The following is a 12,173-nucleotide window of genomic DNA, read 5'->3' on the forward strand; positions in this document are numbered from 1 at the left end:
TGTGGGCCACTGGAGGATGCTGGGTGAGGTAGGCTGAGGAATGACCCCCAAAATATCCCCCTAGTAATCCCCAGTCTCTATACATGTTCATTTACATGGCAAAGGGGCCTTGAAGGTGTGATTAGGTGCAGGGTTTTGAGATGGGGGGATGCTTCTGGATTATTTGGCTCGGCCCTAACTGTAGTCATAAGCATCCTTGTAAGAGGGAGGAAAGGGGTGAAAGGAGGAAGGAGGTGTGGGAACAGACGCTGAGGTTGAAGTGATGATCTTTGAAGCTGAGGAAGGGGCCAGGAACCAAGGAATATCATCGTCCAACCAGAAGCAGGGAAAGGCAAAGAGAAAAAAAAAAGAAAAAGAAAGAAAATAAGTGAAAGGAAGGAAGAAAGGAAGAAACTGAGTCTTTCTTACAGCCCCCAGAAGGAACACGAGTCGGCTGACTCTTTGATTTCAGACTTCTGACCTCCAGATCTACAAGAGAATGCATTTGTGTTATTTTAAGCCAACATTAATTTTGTTTTATTTCTACAGGTTTTTTGGGGAACAGGTGGTATTTGGTTACATGAGTAGGTTCCTTAGTGGTGATTTGTCAGATTTTGGCCTACCCACCAACCGAGCAGTGTACACTGAATCTCATTAGTAGTCTTTTATCCCTCACCCCCTTTCCACCCGTTCCCCCAAGTTCCCAAAGTCTATTGTGTCATTCTTATGCCCTTACATCCTCATGGCTTATGTATTTTGTGGTATTTTGCTACAAGAGCCATGAAACTCGCACATCAGGGAACTTCGAGGACGACATCTATCCGAGGGCTTGCTTTGGGTGAGCTGTGTGGAGGTGGGGGTCCCGGGACATGCTGTCCATCACTGTCAGCCCTCTGCTCAGGCTGGGAGGATCAGGTGTATTCATGAGAGTTCTCCAGGCAGACAGAACAATAGGATTTATGGGGCGGGGGAGAAGCGGGGGACAGATTTATTATAATGGAGGCTGAGAAGTCCTGCAACAGGCTATCTGCAAGCTGGAGGCCAAGGAGGCTGGGAATGTGGCTCAGTCTGAGTCCGGAAGCCTCAGAGCCAAAGAAGCTGATGGTGTAGCCCTCAGTGGGAGGCCAAAGGTCAGAAAAACTGATGGGCCACTCGGCAACTCCTGGGAGCCAAAGTCCAGAGAACCTGGGTTCTGATGTTCAAGAGCAGGAGAAGAAGGGCGTCTCAGGTCCAGGAGAAAGAAAGAGATAATTCACCTTTCCTCTGTTTTGTTCTATCTGGGCCCTCAGAGAATTAGTTGGTGCCCACCCCCGTTGAGCGCAAATCTTTACTCAGTCCACTGACTCAAAAGGAGGCGTCTCCTGGCAACACCCATATAGACACGCCCAGAAACTGCTCTGCCAGTTGTCTGGGCCTCCCACAATCCAGTCAAGTTGACACCTGAACTTCACCATCACACCAGACAACTGCTCTGATCGTCAGAGCAGCCAGGGGCCTCCCTTGGCCATAGCCAGCCTAGGTGGTTGAGATGAAGATGGGCTGGAGGCCAAGGGGGCAGGGCAGTCATCATACCATCCGCAGGGGCTAGTCAAGTGCCCTCCTCAGACCAGACCCAGCCTCGACACTTTAAATAAATTTTCCCTAATTGTATCAATAAATACAAAGCAGTTTTTCTAGTTAGAAAGGACACAGAAAGTTCTAGAAACTTGTCCAACCTCAGACTCCCTGTCAGCTCTGTCTGCCCTGTCATCTATGCCCCCTCTACTCTAGCAGAACATGTGACTGGCATCCAAAGACAAGACTTGGTGCTCATGTGCCCCTTACAAGCTGTAACTCAGGCGAGCACACGTCTCTGAGCCTCAGTGTCCCTACCTGCCACAATGGAGGTTACAATTCCTGCCTTCGCGTGGTCTTTGGTGGACTCAGAAGGACAGTGCTTATGCGAGAGAGCTTTGAACCACAAAGGCAATAACTGTGCAGGAGTTATTCTCAGTGCTGTTTCTGCCCACAGAGGCATCTCCCCTTGTTTCTCTGTAAGAGTATAGCAGTGGACATTCACTGATGGCCCATTGATCCTCAGAGTACATCTCTCTTATCTATGAGATTCAGAGAGGGGAAGCAAAAAGCCTGGAGTCACACAGCAAGCCAGGAGTCTGTGGGTGTCTAGTCCCAGATCTGGAGCCCTCGCTCAGCTGCACTTCTGCAAGATGCCTCTTCTCCCAGGCCTTTCAGCTGCCACCTTCCGCTCAGTTAGTCCAATCCTGACTGACAAGACACAGCCAGTTTCTGAGGAAGGCTGCTGCGTTTACACTGCGAGCTGCGGCCCAAGACCCCAGATCTCACTCCAGGCTCCTGGGATGTTCCTGGGGTTTTCCATGACTTGGGAACCTCACACAGAGTGGGAACCATGGGTCTCTGGGCTTGGAGAAAGAATACTTTTTGATGTGGCCTTAGCCCCATGTCCATGAGCCCAGCGGTCGTTCAGCCACCAGACTCAGCTTTTCCTCACTGAATAAAGGGGTCATTTTTCCCTGGCTGCCGAACCAGAATTGCCTTGACTTGCACTGAACTTCAGCTAATAATCAGAACCAGGCTTGGGGAGGGGGTGCAGAAGGTGGAATGACATGGTCATTCCGACTTAAAAGAAACATTTTAGGTTCACACTTGCCAAGTTAGGAAGAAAACCAACCTTAGATCCCTTCCCCCCCACCAATACTCCTTTCCCCAAACACCGTCCCCACCCGCCTCTATGTTTAATTGAATTTTTATTTGTGATATATAGAAAACCTAACCCATGGCTGTCATGCTGAGTGTCATTTGGCTTCAAGCTCGAACCAGGGCACAGCTTGGCCTGGAACCCTGAGACAAGATGCTGGCCTCAGAAGGTGGGGCTCACGTCTTCTGGATCCCCATTTACTGGCAACAGTTGGGTTTGTCAAAGGGCTGCCCAAATTGTGCTTGGCTCAGATCTGGGTGAATCATCCCTTTTCTTCTGGGAGCCCAGTGGCTTACATGTGGATCTGGAGAGACAATCAGGGAAAGCAGGAATAACACAAAGCTACCATCATCTAGTGTGTCAGTGCTCATTTTACGTTCAGAGCTACCACACGATCTACCCTGTCCTTTCTCTCTGCTTAGAAGTGTTCTCAACCTTCCTGTCTCAGTCCAGTTGGCACTATTGCTTGATTGTAGTAACAGACCTGATTTGTCAAAGCCTCTCTGTGTCCAAGCCCTTGGGTGCCTCCCACGCTGACTCAGGACTGTGGCTTGTTTGGTGAATGAAACAACAGCCTATGTGATTGATGATGCAAATACCGGAATATATAAGACCTAAAAAATGCCTGGCAGTAGGTTTGCCCTCAGGAGTTCTGACTGGTATGCAGGTAAACAGGCTCAACTAACCTGCTGGAGGGATAGAGACAAACACGAAGAGAGACTCTAGGCTCCCTAAACAAGGACATCCGAATCCAGCCAAGTGCAGCCAGCACACTAGCTGATCACATATTCATGAATGGGCAAGTCCAGCCTTACCTGGAAGAAGTGCCCAGCTAAGCCAGCCCAAACTGCCAAAGTGAAGACTTGTGAGTTAAATTGCTACTGTTTAGGGCAACAAGATCCGAGTCGGTTTGTTACATAGCACTTCTAACTGATACACTTAGTCTATGGAGCTTCCAATGGCTGCCAGGCTGGGATTTTTGTTTCTTTTCTATGCCCTACCACACTTGCTATGGTCCTCTGTTTACTTGTTGGTCTCTCCAATTAGACTGTAAGCTCCACCAGTGCAGGTGCCATATGTCTGTTGGTCACAGTTGAAACCCATCATCTGCCATAGATCATGACAGGTAGTAAATATTCAAAAAATACTCATCAAATCAATCAATGGCTGATTGAAGAAATCAAGCAGATCTGGTTCTGAGCCCCACCTCTTCCAGCATTGCTTTGTAACTTTCATTTATACTATGTGACATCTCTGGGTCTTGGGTTCCTCATCTATAAAGCAAGGCTAAAAATTGCTGTATCATTACTGGGAGGGCCAAATGAGATGAAGCATGTAGCTCCCCTAGGACTGTGCCAGGCTAATACTCAACAAAGGCGGTGACCAGGTCCAAACAAAGCCAATCTGAATCCTATGAGCTGGTGGGTGTATTGCAATTTTCTCAATGAATAACCCTTGGCCACGATTTGTTGGCATCAGTTGTGCTTTCAAAGTGGGAAACTTTACATTGAGACACACGTGAAGGTATCAAATTTATAAGAGAGAAGAATAGAGAAGAAAAGGTGCATCAAACATGTTTCATGTGTTTGTTTACTCCAGAAAGAGGGGCTGGCATGCACAAATACCCTAGAGCAAGAAGGCTCCTAACATGTTCAAGGAACTGAAATCAAATATGATTGCAGCTGAGTATGAGAAGAACATCCTAGAAGCTGAGGCAGGAGAGGTGGGCAGGGGACAGATCATAGGAGCCTTGTAGGTCGTTCAAAATATTCTTATTTCTTTCCCTATACAGCTATGGAAAACTAAGAAAAGATTTTGAAAAGATGCCTTCTAGCCCATGTTTAAATCTAGTTCACATGGCAGAACCAGCAGCCAGGACTTCTAAGAAAAACATGCCACTGTGTCTCGTGTTGCCCAGGTACCCCTGCTTTGCTGCAGACAGTATCAGCCGTTTGAACCACCCTGTGTCATTTGCAAGCCACATGCTCATGAATGATCCAGTGGAGCCTCCACGCATCTGTAAAACAGAAATAACAACACCAAAACCAGCACTACAACAAGGACAAAGGCCAACACTTTTTGGATCCTGTCTGTGATCCTGCTGTTCTAAGTGCTTTATCTCTCTCATCCCCATGAATCCCACCTAATCCACACAGCCAACCCTTAGAGAAAGTCTGAGGTGCTGGGCACTGCTCTAAAAGTGGTGCAAGTATTGACTCATCTCATTCTCACAGCAACCCTAGGAGTTAGTCATGACGGCTACCTGTGTTCCACAGATTCGGAAACTGAGCTCGAGACAGGGTCAGTGTTCTGCCAAGGTCTCAGTGTGCAAAGCTGAGATTTGGCTCAGAGAAATCTGGCTCAGTGGTCAACGTCCTTAGCAACTGGAAGCATCATCCAAGGGGTAGATGACACATCACTCTTGTAAGGAATGTGATAATGTGACACACACAGGTCATATGGCTGGTACATGGTGGGGTGGGGGCGCTGAGATTTAAACTCAGGGAGGTTGAAGGCAGACCAGGCTTTTAATCACCACTGTATACATCACATTGATCATCAACATTTGAAAAATACTTTAGGCATTCGAGCATACAGGGCTGAATGTTCGCGTACATGAGTCATGCATGTGTGCATATGAAATATGTATTCATTTTTTACTTATCTGTTTTCTTTGAGGCCCATGGAAGAACTCGCTAGTGGAAACTGTCAACATTGACTAGCTATCATGAGCCAGGACTGATGGGATGACGTGAGCAGAGGACACCATTATTTTGTGCTTCATCAAAGTTGCAAGCTTAATAAGTGACAAAGTGGGGTCCAAAACCCAATTGTAAGTCCACTACCCTATTAGATTTCTCATGGGGGCAGAGGAGAAAAGATTGCATATTTGCATATCAGGGCAGCTTCATTGCTTTGCACATTTGATTTTAATATTTGTAATAAACATCCTCTGATGATCTACATCTCCAGATTTGAGAAGCCTAAGGATGAGACAGTGATAGACAATCAGTCCAGCCACCAGCATCCCGTTGGTACAGTTAAGTCTAAGGAGGGGCAGGTGCACAGCTGGGAGGCTCCAGCCAGCCTAAACACACAGACTGAGACAGGACTTGGGGGCATGGAGGCCAGACCGTGAACTCAGGGCAGCGTGACCTTTTGGGTGTCACTAATTCACCACCTTGGCTTGCACAACAGTCCATTGGTCTTGCATCAAAACCTCAAAACCTCCGTCCTCTCTCGCATACCCACTTACATGTTGGCAAAGGTTGGAATGTCTGCCGAGAAACCTGGTGGATAGCCTCCCTTTTCCACACTCACAGAAGGAGCTTTGACAGTTCAGGCCTTCTTGAAAAGTTAGAAAACTGTCCTGGGTAGTGAGTATATCTATGAGAATTTGGAGGTAAAGTCTTTTTTTACAAGAATGTTAACTGAACTATAGTAGACCTCTCTTATCCGCCAGGCATGTGTTCCAAGATTCCCAGCAGATGCCTAAAACCCTGGGTAGTACCTAACCCTATTTCCATCATTTGGAACACATTTCAGTTCATAATTTCCACCCACAAATTTAATGCCTTTTTCCATCTTAACTAAGCACTTATCACGCACTGGGGCCATAACTTTTGCAGTTTAAGATATGACAGCAAAACTAGCATGAATTTCTTTTTCCTTCTTCACAATTTCACAGATAGAAGATTTATTCTTACAATAGATCTTAGCAACCTCAACATATAATTTTTTTTTTCCTTAAAAGTCAAGAACTTTCACCTTTTACTTAAAGGAAGCATTTTACAGGCTGGGCACGGTGGCTCACGCCTGTAATTCCAGCACTTTGGGAGGCCAAGGCAGGCGGATCACCTGAGGTCAGGAGTTCAAGACCAGCCTGGCCAACATGGTGAAACCCTGTCTCTACTAAAAATACAAAAATTAGCTGGGCGTGGTGGTGTATGCCTGCAGTCCCAGCTACTTGAGAGGCGGAGGCAAGAGTATCACTTGAATCTAGGAGGCTGAGGTCGCAATGAGCCAAGATTGTGCCATTGCACTCCAGTCTGGCTGACAAGTGTGAGACTCCAACTCAAAAAAATTAAAAAAGGAAACACTTTACAGCTTCTCTTTGGCTTATCCGAATTGCCAGCACCACTATCGTTGCTCAGAGGGGCCATTACGAAGTAAAATAAGAGTGACTTGAGCACAGACACTGCGATGTCATGACAGTCAGTATAGCGAAGACAGCCATGAAGTGACTAATGGGCAGGTAGCGTAGACAGCATGGAATATGGTGGAAAGTGATGATCCATGCCCCAGTGAGATGCAACAGGACAGCATGATATTTTAGCATGCTACTCAGAGCAATGCAACATTTAAAACTGATTAACTGTTTCTGGAATTTTCCATTTAATATTTTCAGGCTGTGGTGGATCGTGAGTAATTGAAACTGTGAAAATACAGATGGGGGGATTACTGTACTTACCGGGCATGACCCCAGGGATGGTGGTGCTAATTAAAACCATGCATATCTCCTGCCCTCAAGGAACTTAGGCTGAACTGGAGAGACAGATACAGGGGAGGGAGGGTTCTGAGCAACACTGCCCAGTGACAGGAGTATCCAGAAGGCAGGGACCATAAAGGATCACAGTGCAAGGGGCTTGCAAGGATCCCAGAGGATCCTGGTGGGGTGAGGTGAGCTGGTATCCCAGGTTTTGCTGAGGATGTGCTATTTTCCAGGGATGCATGGTAGAGATGCCAGGTTCAGGTCTGAGGCAGGTCTCAACAGTCGATCATATTTTGGTGGGAAAGAGAATGCAAAAGCATCATTTGGGGACTTATTCCTAACTCCTCATGGCTTCCTAGGACTGGAATGGAAAGTGCCATCCCTCAGCCAGATGGGGCTTTTGAGTGGAAGAGCGGAGGAGTGGGGAAGGGCTCTTGTCCTCCTGCTCCATCTCTTGGGCAACTCCTGGAAACCCTGAGGGAGAAAGTATCACCATGGGCCCCATGGCAAGGGTGGCCTCTGACAAATATGTTCTGCTAGTCCAAACTTCAGTCAAGCTTTTGGACCTTCTCTTAAGCCCATCTCTGTACTTCCTTGTAAAATCCAGTTTTATCAAAGAACCCTGCTAAGTCAGGTTAGCAAGAACCCATCACCCTTGATATCTGATCATCCTCAACCTCTGATCAAGTTCCTCATCTTCCATCATCCCCTGGGTGTTGCCTGATCACCCTGGCTTGTCTTTAGTGAGAATCCTGCATACATCACATTGATCATCAACATTTGAAAAACGCATGAGGCATGAGAGTCTACGGGGTGAATGGACATCTACATGAGTGGGTTGCTTTGGCCAGAATCCTCCCCGCTGACGTTTTATCTTAGTACCTCTGCATCCACTGACCCTGCCCTGCTCCTTGGCCATAAATTCTCATTGGCTCATGCTGTATTTAGAGCTGAGCCCAATCTCTGTCCCTGACTAAAAATCTCATTGCAGGGGTCCTCGTGCTTATTGTGATGGTCCTAAGCATGGGCCACCTACTGTGCTTTCACGAGTGTCATTGAATCTTTTTTTTTTTTAAACACCTCACAGTTGAAGCAGGATCACACAGGGGACTGGGTAATTTCAGATATCTGAAATTACTTCCCTCCTCAAAGGCTCAGTAAAAGCTTGAATGGGTCCACCAACTGCTAGGACACCTAGTACAGTCCTCTGACATCTAAAGCCCTCTTTTTATTTCAGTGACTCAGAATCCAGGCCCCTGGACATTTCTCCAGCCACACTGCCAGCCACAGGGCTCTCTTCTCCAGGGCTGTGGGCTGTCCTGGGGCTGTCTCACTCTCAGCTCTCAGAGACCAGCAGAGCTGCCTTTTCCTGTCCTGCTGGTTTCTGGGTCTCTTCCCTAACAAGACCCAGAGCAGTTTGGCCTACTTTGGAGAACAGCCCAACGGACTGAGCGATGGGAGGAAGTGATAAGTGCAGCTGTCTCTTCAGCCCATGGCTTCTTCCTCTGGGGAGACTGAGGTTCTCACGGTGCCTGCAAGGCTGTGGGAGCCGGGACCTGCCCTTAAAGTTAGTCTCCAGCTGGGGGAGGTTTCCCTGAGCTGAGCCCTAGATAAGTGTGGCAGATAAAAAGAAGAGCCAGAAAGGACTGGTTTTGTCTGGGTTGGCTTTTGAGAGGGACTTTACTGCTCTCTGGGGGTGTAGAAATAAACTGTCTCATGCCAGATTGGCCTCCACATTGTCAAATTTAGGCTGGGAAGATTTTCCTTCCTGGCTTAGACTCGAGTGCCCTGAGAAGAGACAGAAAAGGGGACTAGAGATCATTGCATTTCTCAGGTCTTTGCCAAGCGAGGGACTCGTCCGGTCTAAACACATTAAGGAAATGCATCTCAATTCATCTTCATAACTTGCAGCTAAAGCCAGCTTCTCAGCCTTGGCTCTGTCGACTTTTTGGGTTGGATAATCCTTTGCCGTGGGGACTGTCCCATGTATTATAGGATGCCCAGCAACATCTCTTGCCTCTACCCACTAGATGTCAGTTGCACTTTCCTCCTCCAGTAGCGCCAATCAAAATGTCTCCTGGGGCACGATTGCCCCCAGTGGAGAGTCACTGGGCTATCAGTAAAGAACATCAGAGATCACTGAGCATGATGCTAAGAGGACTTGCCCACCACTCCACAGCTTTGACAAGAGTCAAACCCAGGACATTTTGTTATTCTTGTCTTTCCTTTTCATGCCTCATGCTGCCTGAGTTCAGGAAACCCTAATTTCTCTGAGTGTATTCCCTCAACTGGAAAGGAAGTTCAGAGCTTTTACCTTAAGGGGTGATTATACAAATCAAATATGACAATGAATAGTCGGTGTGAGCATGTAGAGTGTTGGGTTTGTGGTAGGTCCCTTCCCTTGCAACAGACATTCTTTTGAAAGAAAACACGTGCCGGTAAAAAACAGAGCAGTTCTCAGCCTTCTCTGCACATGAGAATCACTTGGGCACCTTTGACTGCCAATGCCTCGGCCTCACAGCAAGAGATCTGGGGTTTAACTCGGCATCAGTAGGTCCTAAAATTCCTCAGGTGCCTCCAATGCTGAGCTGAGATTCTGAGAAGCTCTCAGAATCTCTTTTAAGAACTATAATGGTTACACTATAAATTCCACCTGTTTCATGTTCCCAAAAGGAGGAAGCAAGTTTAGTGATAAAGGAGCAAGAAAAATCTATTCCCCAGAGTCACCTTCAGTGACAATGTTTGACAAAAGTGCTACTGAGAGGAGATAGCAACAGGGCCTAGATTCGTACAGCACTTCAGAATGTCAAGTGTTAACTTGGAATATTTACCATGACATGCAGAACTGAGTCAACTGGTACTTACAGGTGAATGGAAAGAAATGAGGCCAGAGCCTGATGGCAGGTACCAGATGTAATGCAATACTGCATGTGTGTTCTTCAAATACATGCAAAAAAGTTCTTCAGTGAGGACCAGGTAGAGTCCTGGGATTTCTTTTTCTTCTTCCTCTTCCTTCTCTTTCTTCTTCTCTTCTGCCTCCTCTTCCCCGCCATTTTGTTTTGTTTTGTTTTTTGGTCTGTGGTTTTCAATATTGATTTGCTTCTTTTGGATTATCGGCCATCTAGGGGACATAGGAATAAGCTACTCATAACATCAGCAACCGGTATCACCCACTGCCGATCTCCCTCCAGTGATTTTATGTGTGTGCGTTGACACTTTACTAAATTGGAACGTAGAGAGACAGTTGGCATCATGCTATTCTCACTTGCTCATAAAGCATGTTTATATATCATTAAAAATGTTTCAAAATATAATTTGATGTCTATATAATCTTCTAACCTATGACTATATATAATCTTCTACCCTAATTCTATCTGCACATCACAACTTATTTTCCCACTTCTCGTTTGCTAAACACATATTGTTTCCACATTTACAAACAAATATTTTAAATAAAGCTGAAATAAGCATCCTTGTAAACATCTTTAAGTACTCTTATTTCCTTAGGAAACATTTGTAGAGATGGAGTTATTAGGGCAAAGTTTCGGTACTGGTGATGTCATGTGTCACGGCAAATACAAATTGCTTTCTATAAAAAGAATGAACAAATTTAGACGCTAACCACCTCGGTGTGAGGAGCTGAGTCATCTGTCATCAGCAACTCTGATTAGTATCATTCAAAGATTGATAATTTAATGGCTAAAAAATACTACCTTATATTTTGTTTCATCTGTGTCTATTGGATCACTAGCAAAGATAAATACTTTTTACATATTTATTAGGTACTTGAACATGGTTTCAGTTGTGAATTTTTGTGTGTGAATATGTTTTCTGTTTGCTTTCTTTCTGTGAATTCATACTGGAGTTATTTTTTCTTAATTTATAAAATATCTTTCTAGATTAAAGATATTAAAATCTTGTCTTTATGTCGCAAACATTATTTCCCAGTTTGTTTTAAATTTAGCATGTTTTAGAGAACATTTATTTTCTCTTTTCAAAATTTATTATCTTTTTCTCGCTGACATTTAAGAGAAAAATATACTCATGGGCAAAATTTGAAAAACAAATATAAAAATGTAAATTACAAAATGAAGCGTGTTTTGAATGGCAGCAGAAATAATCGCTATTACATTTTCATGCAACTCCAGCTACTGACAGGGACACAACATGTTTATTTTCTCAAAATTGGAATCATATAGGCTATGTTATATTATAGCCTGTTTTTGTGAGTGCTTTCTTTGTTCACTCAATAGTCTTCTAAAACCTGATACTTAACAGCTATAAACTCTTCCGTTAGAGGGATGCAATATATCTTTTTAAACAGTCGCTAATTATCAGGAATTCTAGTTGCTTCAGGATGCTACCCAGAATACATACTGCTATGGTGAACACTCTTCTACACACAGAGTTCATCCAACTATTTCTTTCAGATATAGTCCTAAGGGTAAACTTGTTAGGTCCGAGGATATGCCAATTTTAAAGACTTGTGATTAAAAATGACTAAATTGTCTTTAAGGAAGATTGGGGCAAATTACTCTCTCACCGAAAGGGTATGAGAGTGGAAAAGCCTCATTGAACAGGCCATTGAAATGTGGGTTAGAGAGTCTGCCACACACAATATGCCTCCTAAACATTCATTCCCTTCAAGTTGAAGTTCTGAACCTTCATGAAGTTTCAAATCAAGCCTTTTGGCATTAAGAAGCTGTTACTTTCAACTGTGTATTTTGTGGAGTTGATGACACTGTGGGAGTATTTCTAGTTAAAACAATATGCGAGCTGACATCTCTCCCCGAAACCACTGTCTCGCTCGCTCTCTGTGATTCTCTCCTTTAATCATGTTTTTATAATTTCCTCACAGCACTTCACATACAGTGACAAGCCTCGTGCTGTGCCCATCAAGGTCTGTTATGGGGGGCAACAGCTGACATTTTCCAAAATGACTGTGCAATGGAGTACTGGGACCAAAGCATGCTTGGGGGAACTCAT

General features: G+C 45.1%; 1 long non-coding RNA gene across 1 annotated transcript in view; it reads left to right on the forward strand.

Moving 5' to 3' along the window:
* Window positions 1-12,173, forward strand: part of LOC105370651 (uncharacterized) — a 91,436-nt gene that overhangs the window by 62,420 nt on the left and 16,843 nt on the right. Inside the window, exon 3 of the long non-coding RNA XR_944186.4 lies at window positions 5,375-5,528. This is a non-coding gene — a long non-coding RNA (uncharacterized LOC105370651). The remainder of the gene's footprint in view (window positions 1-5,374; window positions 5,529-12,173) is intronic.

This window comes from Homo sapiens, chromosome 14 (genome assembly GCF_000001405.40).
Source record: "Homo sapiens chromosome 14, GRCh38.p14 Primary Assembly".
NCBI classification, from domain to species: domain Eukaryota; kingdom Metazoa; phylum Chordata; class Mammalia; order Primates; family Hominidae; genus Homo; species Homo sapiens.